Below are 14,466 nucleotides of genomic sequence, written 5' to 3' on the forward strand. Positions count from 1 at the left end.
AGTTCAAGTGATTCTCCTGCCTTAGCCTCCCCAGTAGCTGGGATTACAGGTGCATGCCGGACATGAATATTAGAGTCTTAAGTTCCGACAGGGCAGGGCCACCATCAAATCTATTTCTAGCACTACAGAATATTAGGACTTTTTTTTTTTTTTTTGAGACAGGGTCTTGCTCTGTTGCCCAGGCTGGAGTGCAATGGCACGATCTCGGCTCACTGTAACCTCTGCCTCCTGAGTTCAAGCGATTCTACGTCAGCCTCCCAAGTAGCTGAGACTACAGGCGCTTGCCACCATGCCCGGCTAATTTTTGTATTTTTAATAGAGACAGGTTTCACCATGTTGTCCAGGCTGGTCTCAAACTCGAGCTCAAGCAATCCACCCGTTGTGGCCTACCAACGTGTTGGGATTACAGGCATGAGCCACCGCGCATGGCCAATTGGAAGGTTTTAACTCTGACAAAGAGAAGAAAGAGAGAGGCAGTCAGCAGGAACTGTATTTCTCCACGTCTAGCTTGCTTGATCTCAACGACCTTTTTTTTTTTTTTTTAATAATACAGACCATAGTCACAAGAGTGATGTATTTTCAATCTCTCATTTTCAGGAAGAGGAAACTCTTACAAGCAGAATGTATTATATGTAAGTGTAAGCTTCACACAGCCAAAAGTGTATCTGGACAACACTCTATACATAAGCAGTGTTGAAAACACCCTGCAATGTAACTAACGGATAGGCTTGAGTGCCCTGAGCCTTCCTTGGGTTGTTTGGGTTACAGCTAAACTAGCCTCTGCCTACGCCCTTTTACAAAGCAAAGATTCCTTTTACAATGCAAACAACCATTCCCTAGCTTTTCTGTCTTAAAGATCAAAAGTCTGCACAATTTGGCCAGGCGCGGTGGCTCACGCCTGTAATCCCAGCAATTTGGGAGGCCGAGGCGGGAGGATCACCTGAGGTCAGGAGTTCATGACCAGCCTCAACATGGAGAAACCCCGTCTCTACTATAAAAATACAAAATTAGCCGGGCATGGTGGTGCATGCCTGTAATCCCAGCTACTCGGGAGGCTGAGGCAGGAGAATTGCTTGAACCTGGAAGGCGGAGGTTGCGGTGAGCCAAGATCGCGCCATTGCACTCCAGCCTGGGCAACGAGAGCGAAACTCCGTCTCAAAAAAAAAAAAAAAGAAAAAACACCAAAAGTCTGCACATTTTATTTTCTGAAAGTAAGAAAGACATATAAAAACAATTCACAGCTGGGTGCGGTTGCTGGTGCCTGTAATCCCATCACTTTGGGAGGCCAAGGCGGGCAGATCACCTGAGTCAGGAGTTTGAGACCAGCCTGCCCAACAAGGTGAAACCCCGTCTCTCCTAAAACTACAAAAATTAGCCCGGTATAGTGACACGCGCCTGTAGTCCCAGCTACTGGGGAGGCTGACGCAGGAGAATAGCTTGAACTCGGGAGGCAGAGGTTGCAGTGAGCCGAGATTGCACCACTGCACTACAGCCTGGGGAACAGAGTGAGACTCCGTCTCAAAAAACAAAACAAAACAAAAAAAACACATTCATTCAATCTAGCAAATATGCCTTGTCCGTTTCACTACCCCTAACATCACTGCTGCTACCACCACCACCACCATCACCACTCCAGAGACTCACAACCCCTTCTACTTCCAGGGTTGGAATAGGCTCTGGCCAACTCCATTTCCACCGCCACCACCACCACTACCCTTGAGAATGGGCTCAACTCCAGGGGGATACAAAATCCCTTCCCCATCCCCTTAGATCCATTATTCATTCATCCCATATTTATTTATTTATTTATTTATTTATTTATTTATTTTTGAGATGGAGTCTCGCCCTGTCACCTACTCTCGCTACTATGTGTTAGGCACTCTTCTATTAATAGGTGCTGAGGATACAGTAATTGAACTCAGCAGACAGAGTTCCTAGTCTCATTAAGCTTACCTTCTAGTGGGAGGAAACAAGAAATAAATGAATAGATGAGGCTGGGCATGGCAGCTCACACCTGCAATCCCAGCACTTTGGGAGGCTGAAGCACAAGGATCACTTGAGCCCAAGAGTTTGAGACCAGCCTGGGCAACATGGTGAGACCCCATCTCTACAAAAAAAAATTATTTAAAAACTTATGAAAAAATGATGAGCCAGGTGCAGTGTCTCATGCCTATAATCCCAGCACTTTGGCAGGAGGATTGCTTGAGCTCAGGAGTTTGAGACCAGCCTGGTCAACATAGCGAGACCTCATCTCGACTAAAAAATTTTAAAAATTAGCCAAGTGTGGTGCTGTGCACCTGTGGTTCCAGCTTACTCAGGAGGCTGAGGCAGGAGGATCACTTGAGCCCAGGAGGGCAAGGTTGCAGTGAGCCGTGATTGCACCACTGCACTCCAGCCTGGGTGACAGACCGAGACACTGTCTCAAAAAAAAACAAAACAAAAAAAAGAATAAGCTGGGCATGGTGGCTCATGCCTGTAATCCCAGCACTTTGGGAGGCCAAAGCTGGTGGATTGCAAGGTCAGGAGTTCAAGACGAGCCTGGCCAACATGGTGAAACCCCATCTCTACTAAAAATACGAAAATTAGCCGGGTGTGTGTAATCCCAGCTACTCAGCAGGCTGAGGCAGGATAATTGCTTGAACCCTGGAGGCGGAGGTTGCAGTGAGCTGAGATCCTGCCACTGCACTCCAGCCTGGGTGACAAAGCAAGGCTCCATCTCGGGAAAAAAAAAAAAGAATAGATGAGAAGATAGTTGATGATAAGTGCTATGATGACAATTAGAACCCAGGATCGATAGGAAGTGACTGGGGTAGAAACCTAGGTATGGCTGTCAAGAAAGGTCCCTATAAGGAAGTGCTATGTACATGCAGACCTGAATGACAAGGAGTCAGCCATGCAAAGAATCTGGGTAAAGAGCATTTCAGAGGGAACAGCTAATGCAAAAGCCCTAAGGCAATAGCAAGCTCACGGTGCTTAAGAAACAGAAAGTCAGTGAGGCTGAAGCCCATGTGTTGAAGGAAGAAAGTATAAGATGAGGTCAGAAAGGGAGGCATGCCCTAGCTAGTGGAGAAGCTCTTAGGCCAGGGAAAGGAGTTTGGATTTCATTGAAAGTGTAATGAGAAGCCTTTGGAAGGTGTTAAGCTCAGAAGTGGCACGATCTGATTTATGGTTTTAAAGGATCATGGTAGCTGCTGAGTGGAGAATAAATTGTGGGATCAAGGGATGCAAGGGAAACCACTTAGAAAGCTATTATAGTGGTCCAGGTGGAAACAGTGGCTTGGACAAGGATGGTGATAGAGGGCGGGGCTGCTGAGAAGTGGAAGGACTCAGGAAATGTTTTGGAGTTGGAGTACCCTAATGACCTGCCTTGGCTCTCTCTGCATGGTTTATGCATATCAAATAATTATCAACAATCGACAAATATTTATTGAGTTCCTACCACGTCCCAGGCGCTGTGCTACGCACTGGAAGTTACAGCCCAGAGGAGAAGGCCCACTCCACCTCCTTCTGCCCTACTGCCATAGGAGCTCTAGTTTGAGGAAGCTACTGCCCATCCCAACCTCACCCCATTTGCAGGGCGAGAGGCACACCCATTACCCCACCCTACCCACCCCTGCACTCTATTCCAATGCCGATCTGGAACTGATGGGGTGGGGGCAGTATTTACAGTTGGAGAATTGATGCCATAAAAAGAAGAGTCCAAAGTCCTCTTAAAGGTCTCAGAGCAAAGACCAGGAGAGCCCAAAGCTTCCAGAGTGGAGAGGGAGTACAGCTAGGGCCATGAGGATGAGGCAACTCTTGGTGCCCACACCACTGCTAGTCCTTCTCTGGGTTTCCAGAGCCCAGACTTCCTCAGTCTTCACTATCCCATTCCGCCAGCACCTATTCCCTCGTCCCCACCTTAGTAAATGTCTGGGTCTTGTATGCCCTCTGGTGGCACAATCATGGTACTGCAGCCCATAGTTAGTTCCCAACTTTTCGCTACTCAATCTATAGTCTTCTCTGGCTCACGGCTCCTAGGGGCAGTATGGGAAATTCTGGAAATCAGGGAAGGGCTGGAACACTGGTCTCTGGGTGTTGGAGGGATGAGCGCACCCTCCATCTAGTTTTATACGCAATGCCAGATTCGTCTTTTATGAGTTGAATTAACCATGTTTGAGCACCTACTGTGAACTGATCCCAGTCACCAACCCGCTGACCCAAGCTCAGATGACTGGCCACTCCTACCAAAAGCTTAGAGTCTGGAGCTGGGGGGTGTGAAGAAGCAAGAGCGGTTTAGAATTCATTCTGCTTTCAGCAGCAGTGTCAGAAGCCCGAACTTGACCCTCCTATCATTCCTGCTGCCTAATTTCTCTTTGTTCCTGCCTGTTTTTTACGCCTTATACTCTTGCCTTTCTATCAGTTCTGTGAGCAAGTTATTCACTATCCTTCCAACAAATGTCATTTCTGCTCCCATTAGTTGGAGTCTGTTTCTGTTTTTACAATCAAGATGACTGGTATGTGTTGGGCAATTCATCAAGCCTTTCTGGGCCTTAGTTTCCCCCTTAGTAAAAAAGGGAGGATAGCAATGACTTCCATGCACAAGGCCATTTTTATTAAACAAGTGTATTAGTTCTCTATTGCTGCGTAACAAATTACCACACATTTAGCAGCCTAAAGCAACACACGTTTACTGTTTCATAGTTTCTGCCTATCAGGAGACTGAGCATAGCTCAGTGGGGTCCTCTACTTCAAGGTCTCACAAAGCTACAAGCAAGATGTTAGCTGAGGCTTCAGTCTCATCTATGGTTGGAATAAGGAAGGATCCAATTCCAAGCTCATGTGGTCGTTGATAGGATTCAGTTCCATATGGGCTGGGCTGCTGGACTGAGGGCCTCAGGCACCTTTCCCTTAGGCCTCTGCCACATGGCAGCATGTCTTCATCCAAGCCAGCAAGAAGAGATTCCGCTAGCAAACAGAAGTCAATGGTCTCTTATAGCCTCATTATAGAAGTGCCGTCCATCACCTTCTGATGGATCAGAAGTAAGTCTCTAGGCCAGCCCACAGTCAAGGGGAGGGGATTACTCAAGGGCATGAATACCAAGACGTGGGGATCATTTGTGGCCATCTCAGGTTTGCCTGTCACAATGTGGTAGCTGTTAGTCATCTTTCAAGGACTCCTCAAAATGCCACTTCCTTCTTGAGGGCTTTTTAAATTCTTCCCCCACCCAAACCCATCAAAGTTAACCCCTCTTACAAATGATGAAACTTGAAAGTGTGCTGGATATTAGATGGAATTATGTTTAATTGTGTTAGGGAAGGGTAATGTTATTTTTTTATTTTTTTATTTTTTTTTGAGACGGAGTCTCGCACTGTCACCCAGCTGAAGTTCAGTGGCAGGATCTCAGGTTCGCTGCAACCTCCATCTCCCGGGTTCAAGTGATTCTCCTGCCTCGGCCTCCTGAGTAGCTGGGATTACAGGCGCGTGCCACCAAGACCGGCTAATTTTTGTATTTTTAGTAGAGACAGGGTTTCACCATGTTGGTCAGGCTGTTCTTGAATTCCTGACCGCATGATCCGCCCGCCTGGGCCTCCCAAAGTGCTGGGATTACAGGCGTGAGCCACCGTGCCCGGCCGGGTAATGTTATTTTGACACTAAGAAATTCCCCCTAATTTTAACATTTATTTATTTATTTAAATTGACAAATAAAAATTATATATATGTACGTAAATTGTGTACAACATGTTTTGAAATATGTATACATTGTGAAATGGTTAAATCAAGCTAATTAACATATGCATCACTTCACATGCTTATCTTTTTTTTTTGGTGGTGAGAACACCTAAAATCTACTCTTTTAGCAATTTCAAGTATAAGATGCATTGCTATTAACTCTATTCACCACGTTGTGCAATAGATGTCTTGAACTTATTCCTCTCATCTAACAGATTTTGTATCCTTTGGCCAACTTCATTTCGGCCCAATCCTCCCACTCCCCAGCCTCCGGTAACTGCCATTCTACTTTTTCTACAAGTTCAACTTTCTAAGATTCCACGTATAAATGAGATCATGGCCAGGTGCAATAGCTCATGCCTGTAATCCCAGCACTTTGGGAGGCTAAGGCGGGCGGATCATGAGGTCAGGAGTTCGAGACCAGCCTGGCCAACACAGTGAAACCCCGTCTCTACTAAAAATACAAAAATTAGCCGGGTGTGGTGGCATGCACCTGTAGTACCAGCTGCTTGGGAGGCTGAGGCAGGAGAATCATTTGAACCCAGGAGGTGGAGGTTGCAGTGAGCCAAGACCACACCATTGCACTCCAGCCTAGGTGACAGAGAGATTCCGTCTCAAAAAAAAAAAGAGATCACATGGCATTTGTCTTTCTGTGCTGGGCTCATTTCACTTAGCATAATATCCTCCAGGTTCATCCATATTGCCATAAATTGCAAAATTTCATTCTTTTTTATGGCTGAATATTATTACATAATATATATACTGTATACTGCATTTTCTTTATCCATTTTTCTGTTGATGGACACTCAGGGTGATTCCATATCTTGGCTATTGTGTGTGTTGTTTTTTGTTTTTTTTGTTTTTTTTTTCTGAGACGGAGTCTCGCTCTGTCGCCCAGGCTGGAGTGCAGTGGCACAACCTTGGCTCACTGCAACCTCTGCCTCCTGGGTTCAAGCAATTCTCCTGCCTCAGGCTCGTGAGTAGCTAGGCGCTCGCCACCACGCCAGGCTAATTTTTGTATTTTTAGTAGAGACGAGGTTTCACCATATTGGTCAAGCTGGTCTTGAACTCCTGGCCTTGTGATCTGCCTGTCTTGGCCTCCCAAAGTGTTGGGATTACAGGCATGAGCCACTGCGCCTGGCCTTTTTTTTTTTTTTTTTTTTTTTTTTTTTTTTTTTTTAATAAGGACAGATCTTGCTTTGTTGCCCAGGCTGGAGGGCAGTGGCTATTCACAGGCATGATCATAGTGCCCTGCAGCTTCCAACTCCTGGACTCAAGCAATCCTCCTGCCTCAGCTTTCCAGAGTAGCTGGGACTATAGATGTGAGCCACTGTGCCCAGTTACTATATCTTGGCTATTGTGAATAAAGCTGCAATAAATATGGGAGTGCAGATATCTCTTCAACATACTGGTTTTATTTCTTCAGATATATACCCAATAGTGGGATTGCCAGATCATATGGTGGTTGAAATATGTTCTTTCTGAGTGATACTACTGAAGTATTTCTTGGTGGACTATCATGATGCCCACACTTTTCTTTAAGATATTTTACTCAAAAAAGAAAAAAAAAAAAAAAAGGCCAGGCATGGTGGCTCACACCTGTAATCCCAGCACTTTGGGAGGCCAAGGTGGGTGGATGGCTTGAGGGCAGGAGTTCAAGACCAGCCTGGCCAACATGTCGAAACTCCGTCTCTACTAAAAATACAAAAATTAGCTGGGTGTGGTGGTACACACCTGTAACCCCAGCTACTCAGGAGGCTGAGGCACGAGAATCGCTTGAACCCAGGAGACGGAAGATGTAGTGAGCCGAGATCACGCCACTGCACTCCAGACTGGGCAACAGCGCAAGACTCCACCTCAAAAGAAAAAAAAAAGATATTTTAGAGTAGTAAGGAGAGGGTCATAGGGACATCCTCCCTTTTACTCCCAGTCTCCTTGGCTAAATAGTTGCCATGGAAAAAGTAGATTTTGCTCTTTCCAGAAGTGGTCCAGGAAGCCAGCTCTGTATATGTGTGTAAGAGGTGAGAGAGACTGAAAAGATTAACAATATCAAACTTTCTCATCTCACAAGCCTCAAAGGGCCTGTATGTGAGTGCAGATAACTGAAATCGGTTATCTCCCTGATCCTTGCCGGCATATCACACAAATGTTTGGGAGTAACACTGGGGACAAGGGTCGTCTCCCCCCCACCCCGCCCCCACACTGGAAGTTTTATTTCTTTAGGATTCTATCCCAACCACTCGCTTAAAAATCAAGTAACACAGACCTGAGGGGTAGGAGCTGGGGACTGCACCTCCCTGCTACTCATGGAGGACAGCAGTGCGAACGAGGGAGGGGCAGGAGAGGCGGCTGAAGCAAGGCAGCAGCAGAGGTAACGGGGCCACGACCTCAGAGAACCAGCTCCGTCCTCTCCCAGACCCTGGCTGGAGCCCCTATGGCTTGGGGTGGGGAGTGGGAGTACCCACCCCAGGCCCTCCCCTTCCTTCCTCAGACAGCCTCCTTGAGGGCTCAAGCCATTTCTTCTGGCAGGAGACTGAGGCACACGGAGAGGAGGAAGTGGAAGAGGAGGATGCAGGAGAGGCAGGGTGGTGGCTTGAATGAAGGCAGAGGTGACAGGCGTGGGCAAGGCCACTCCATCCCACCCACCCTGGAGAGGGGCAAGGAAGCCACACCATCAGGCAGCATGTCGGGTATGGGGGAACAAGGCAGGGTTTAAGGCTGAGCAGCCCAGGGCAGGCAGGGCAGCCCAGGGCAGGCAGGACCTCGGGCCTCAGTCAAAGCCGTGCCAGTCGCTGTGCTCCGAGTAGTATTCCAGCTTGGCACCCATGCATTTGACACCGTCCAGCAGCATGCATGTGCCATGGCGTCAGCCCATGATGCAGGCTTGCACCTTCCGCGCACGCAGGTGCTGGTGCCACCTTCCCAGACTAGTAGCATCCCCTCTTTGAGGACCCCTTCTTTGTGCGCCTAGTACTCGCACTTGACACTATAACCTTCAGGGAAGGGTAGGACGCTGAGAAGCTTCAGGTGCAGGCTGGGGACAAGTGCCTGGCGGACGTCCTTGCTCAGCCTGTGCACTGGGACGGAGCAAAGGTAATCTCATACCTGTGCAGGATCTTCAGGAACCTTGACCAGAAAGCTGCTGTCCCTCTCCTGGATGACCATGACCACCGAGTCCTGCAACTTCTCATCAAAGTGGACGTGGCTTTGGGAGCCCTCTGCATCGTGGCCTGTCACAAAGTGGATACTCCGGAATCTGGGCTTGCTGCCTTTGTTGGTTGCAGCCATGGACCCCCTCCCTGCCACGCAGCTTCCGCAGGACCAAGCCACTCATGCCCAGCAGCCTCCCATGCTCCGGGGACAACAGCAGGAGCCTTGCAGGGTGCAGCCCGGGGCGGACAGGGCAGGGACGACCGCTGAGGCGGTGGCAGGGTCTCAACGCTGAGCACAAGGAAGGGAGCAAGGCTCCTCTTTTAATTTGGTTTTCAGTCAGTTGGAACTCAGTCCTTAGTTTAGGACTGGAGCTTGGGAAAAGAGAAGCGAAGAAGAGGAAGATTTTCAATTACTACTGGGCTTGCTTCAGACTGGATCCAAGGCTCACTGCCTTTGCAGCAAGGAGCAGGAATTGCCTAGTCACGTCATGCAGTCATGTCCCCAGGAAAAACATGAACAATCACAGCTTTTCCTTTCTGGGCCTCTCCTCTTTGTTTTGTTTGTTTGTGTTTGTTTGTTTTTTTAGAGACAGGGTATCATCGCTGTTGCCCAGGCTGGAGTGCAGAGGTGCCTCGAGCTCCTGGGCTCCAGCGATCTTCTCCTCTCAGCTTCCCAATTAGCTGGAACTACAGGCAAGTGCCACCATGCCTAGCATTTTTTTTTTTTTTTTTTTTTTTTGAGATGGAGTTTCCCTCTTGTTGCCCAGGCTGGAATGCAATGGCGCGACCTCGGCTCAATGCAACTTCTGCCTCCCGGGTTCAAGCAAGTCTCCTGCCTTAGCCTCCCGAGTAGCTGGGATTACAGGCACTTGCCACCACGCCCCGCTAATTTTTGTATTTTTGGTAGAGACGGTGTTTCTCCATGTTGGTCAGGCTGGTCTCGAACTCCCTACCTGAGGTGATCCGCCTGCCTCGGCCTCCCAAAGTGCTGGAATTACAGGCGTGAGCCACTGTGCCCAGCCACCTGGCTAATTTTTATTTATTTTTTTTTTTTGAGATGGACTCTCGCTCTTGTCGCCCAAGCAGGAGTGCAATGGCGCGATCTCGGCTCACTACAACGTCCGCCTCCCGGGTTCAAGCGATTCTTGTTACTCGGCCTCCCAAGTAGCTGGGATTACAGGTGCCCTCAACCACGCCCGGCTGATATTTGTATTTTTAGTAGAGAGGGGGTTTCCCTATGTTGGCCAGGCTGGTCTCGAACTCCCTACCTCAGGTGATCCACCTGCCTTGGCCTCCCAAAGTGCTGGGATTACAGGCATGAGCCACCGTGCCCGGCCTATTTTTTATTTTTGAGACGGAGTCTCACTCTGTCGCCCAGGCTGGAGTGCAGTGGCGCGATCTCGGCTCACTGCAAGCTCCGCCTCCCAGGTTCTCACCATTCTCCTGCCTCAGCCTCCTAAGTAGCTGGGACTACAGGCGCCTGCCGTCACGCCTGGCTAGTGTGTGTGTGTGTGTGTGTGTGTGTGTGTGTGTGTGTGTGTGTGTGTGTGTGTGTGTTTTAGTAGAGACGGGGTTTCACCATGTTAGCCAGGATGGTCTCAATCTCCTGACCTCGTGATCCACCCGCCTCGGCCTCCCAAAGTGATGGGATTACAGGCATGAGCCACCATGCCCAGCCCGCCTGGCTAATTTTTAAAATTTTTTTGTGGAGACAGAGTTTTGCTCTGTTGCCTAGGCTAGTCTCAAACCCTGAGCTCAAGCAATCCTCCCACCTCAGCCTTCCAAAGTGATGGGATTACAGGTATGAGCCACCACATCTGCCTCTGCTCTTTGTTATCCTCATTTCTCTCCTTCTTTCTAAGGTAACATCCTCCCTGATTAAGAAAAATACCACCGGCCCGGCACGGTGGCTCATGCCTGTAATCTCAACACCTTGGGAGGCCAAGGTGGGTGGATCAGCTGAGGTCAGGAGTTGAAAACCAGCCTGACCAACATGGCGAAACCCCATCTCTACTAAAAATACGAAAATTAGCTGGGCGTGGTAGCATGCACCTGTAATCCCAGCTACTCAGGAGGCTAAGGCAGGAGAATCGCTTGAATCTGGGAAGCGGAGGTTGCAGTGAGCCGAGATCATGCCATTGCACTCCAGCCTGGGCAACAGAGCAAGACTCCGTCTCAAAAATAAGAAAAATGCCACAGACGCTGCCTTAACCAAGTGATCGAATTTAAGAGTGCCAAAAATGGGACAAACCGATATCATATGCCCCCAATGTGAGGCACTGGGAAGGACACAACATCACCTACGTAGTATTGTTTTTAAGATGGGAGTCCTGCCCTGTCACCAGAGCTGGAGTGCGGTGGCGCGATCATAGCTCACTGCAACCTTCACCTCCCAAGTTCAAGCAATTCTCCTTCCTCGGCCTCCCAAGTAGCTGAGATTATAGGTGTGCACCACCACACCTGGCTAATTTTTTGTATTTTTAGTAGAGACTGGGTTTCACCATGTTGGTCAGGCTGGTCTTGAACTCCTGACCTCGGGTGATCCGCCCACCTCGGCCTTCCAAAGTTCTGAGATTACAGGCGTGAGCCACCTCACCCGACCACCTATGTGGTATTCTTACCAAGAATGTTTAACCTGAATCGAGGAAACCAATTGAGGGACACCTCTAAGACAATTAGCCTGCATTCTTCAAAAATATCAAAGTTATGCAAGAAAAAAATTGGGAAACTTTAATAAGACTAGAGAGACACAATTAAATACAACACATGATGCTTTATCAGAGCCCAGATTTTTTAAAAAAAACTATAAGGACATTATTGGGACACTTGGGGAAATGTAGATTAGATAATGATATATCACTGTTAGATTTCCTGAGTGTGATAATTATCTTGTGGTTATGTAGAAATGCCCCTGTTCTTGGTAAATACCGAATGAAGTCTTTAGGAAGGAAGTTAATGTCTGCAACTAACTCTCACATAGTTCAGCAAAAACACACACCTACATAGTGATAAAGCAAATGTGGGATAATGTTAACAACCAGTGAATCTAAGTGAAAGGTTTATGTGTTCATTGTATTATTCTTGCAACTTTTCTGTAGGTTTTAAAATGTTCATGGGTAGGCACCATGTAATCCCAGCACTTTGGGAGGTTGAGGCGGGCAGATCGCTTGAGCTCAGGAGTTCCAAACCAGCCTGGGAAATAAAGCGAGACTCCATCTCTTTCTTAAAAAAATTAAAAATTAAAAAAAATGTTCAAGGCCGGGCATGGTGGCTCACGCCTTTAATCCCAGCACTTTGGGAGGCCAAGGCAGGCAGATTACTTGAGGTCAGGAGTTCGAAACCAGCCTGGCCAACATGGTAAAACACTATCTCTACCAAAAATACAAAAATTAACTGAGTGTGGTGGCACATGCCCATAGTCCCAGCTACTCAGGAGGCTGAGGCAGGAGAACCGCTTGAACCCAGGAAGTGGAGGTTGCAGTGAGCTGAGATCACGCCACTGCACTCCAGCTTGGGCAACAGAGTGAAACACTGTCTCAAAAAAAAAATATTTTTAATTAATTAATTAATTACATTTAAAAAATGTTCAAGATAAAAAGTTAGGGAGATGCCAAGCGTTCACAGTTTTTATGCCAGCAGGAAAGTACTCCAAATGAGGAAATTAACAGTGTACTATGTTTCCTCTACATTTCATATTTCCCATGGAGGTAGGCATAGGGGGAAGAGTGAGTATCTACCTAATAGTCACTCTGAGTGTTAAGTGCCAGCAAATCAGGGGCACTGAGTAATATTTATTTAGAAATAATGTGATACTTGACATTTTCCCCAAAATGTCAAATTTGTCATGGAAATTTTCAGAACATTTTTAGCATTCTTAAATTTTTTTTTACAGTTGAATTGTTTGTTGAATTAAGTTGTTTTCAACTGCATGGGGATCATCGTAGTCTCTTGAGTTCTTAGTGCACCTAAAAGTCTTTAGCCAGGCATGGTGACACACACCTGTAGTCCCAGCTACTCAGGAGGCTGAGGCAGGAGGATCGCCTGACTTCAGGAGTTTGAGGCTGCAGTTAGCTATGATTGCACCACTGTACTCCAGCCAGAGTAACAGAGTGAGACCCTGCCTCAAAATAAATGTTTTTAAAAATACATAAAAGTCTTAATGTATCCCCATACCCATCCTGGCAAACAGGCTGGGAGCTGGGAGGCAGGGAAACTAGGAGACTGGAAAATTGTGAAAAGCCCTTTGGAATTGGGCAGCAGTTATCTAGGAGGCAAGACACACAAAGGACCCGAGTCTGAGAGTCCAGGGAGTGAGAATGGAAACTTTACACTTCAGACAACGCTGAGCTGTTTTAGAGTTCATGTATTTTCATTGTTTATTTTCTTTTTGTGTTTCCTTAGTATTAGGTAAAGTTTTTTGCTCACTCGTTTAAAGTGAGCCTCTCTTGGTATGTTGAGAAGGACCAAGACAAGAGGACTATGCCCACTTTGGGGCAGAATTCTAAGGGGAAAAGAGAGCCTTCTGAGCTGCCCCCTTGGCCAAGTGTGTTTTACAGAAAAGCCATTTGCCCCCTCCTCTCCTCTCTGGTTGTCACTCCTCCTGCTGTCTCCCTTCTCTGGGCTCTATTCCCACCCCACCCCTCAGACACACCTTTCTTCCTTACCAGTGTGGTGTAATGAACAGATCAGTCTAGGCTGTCAAGTCAAGGAGACCTGGATTCCAACCAATTGGAATGTGACAAGGACAAACTTCAAAACTTATTCTTTTTTTTTTTTTTTGTAGGTGGAGTATTGTTCTGTCGCCCAGGCTGCAGTGCAGTGGCACAATCTCGTCTCATTGCAACCTCTGCCTCCCAGGTTCAAGTGATTCTCCTGCCTCAGTCTCCTGAGTAACTGGAATCACTGGCGCCTGCCACCATGCCCGGCTAATTTTTGTATTTTTAGTAGAGACGGGGTTTCACCATGTTGGCCAGGCTGGTCTTGAACTCCTGACCTCAGGTGATCCACCCACCTGAGCCTCCCAAAGTGCTGAGATTACAGGCGCGAAGCACTGTGCCCAGCCAGAAACATTCTTCCTTTCAACAAACATTCATTAATGCTTACTAGGTGGCAGGCACAATTCTAGGCACTGGAAATACAGTGATAAGTAAAGAAGACAGACAAAGTTCCTGCCCTCAGGCAACTTGCAGTCTCATCCAGAGAGGCAGCTAATAAACAAGCAGACAAAGGAATGAGATTATACAGCCTGAAAAGTGTGTCGCAGAATCTGGTTAACATACTGCATGATGGCTGGGCGCGGTGGCTCACGCCTGTAATCCCGGCACTTTGGGAGGCCGAAGCGGGCAGATCACAAGGTCAGGAGATCGAGACTACGGTGAAACCCCGTCTCTACTAAAAATACAAAAAATTAGCCAGGCGTGGTGGTTGGTGCCTGTAGTCCCAGCTACTTGGGAGACTGAGGCAGGAGAATGGCGTGAACCCGGGAGGCAGAGCTTGCAGTGAGCTGAGATCGCGCCACTGCACTCCAGCCTGGGTGACAGAGCAAGACTCTGTCTCAAAAAAACAAACAAACAAAAAAACACCATACTGCATGACTCCAAC

General features: G+C 47.6%; 1 pseudogene, besides 2 other annotated features; it reads right to left on the bottom strand.

The window, feature by feature from the left end:
* Positions 3,779-4,073: a silencer, noted in NCBI's record as "tiled region #15276; HepG2 Repressive DNase unmatched - State 4:PromP". NCBI's record gives its function as "represses a minimal TATA promoter and a strong SV40 promoter by Sharpr-MPRA in HepG2 cells {active_cell/tissue: HepG2}" and the evidence as "EXISTENCE:reporter gene assay evidence [ECO:0000049][PMID:27701403]".
* On the bottom strand, positions 8,288-9,171 carry ADISSPP1 (ADISSP pseudogene 1; annotated as a pseudogene).
* Positions 9,088-9,686: an enhancer, noted in NCBI's record as "H3K4me1 hESC enhancer chr12:49194958-49195556 (GRCh37/hg19 assembly coordinates)". NCBI's record gives its function as "activates a minimal SCP1, AML or CMV promoter by ChIP-STARR-seq in primed H9 embryonic stem cells {active_cell/tissue: H9 hESC(primed)}" and the evidence as "EXISTENCE:reporter gene assay evidence [ECO:0000049][PMID:30033119]".

Source organism: Homo sapiens, chromosome 12 (assembly GCF_000001405.40).
Source record: "Homo sapiens chromosome 12, GRCh38.p14 Primary Assembly".
NCBI classification, from domain to species: Eukaryota; Metazoa; Chordata; class Mammalia; order Primates; family Hominidae; genus Homo; species Homo sapiens.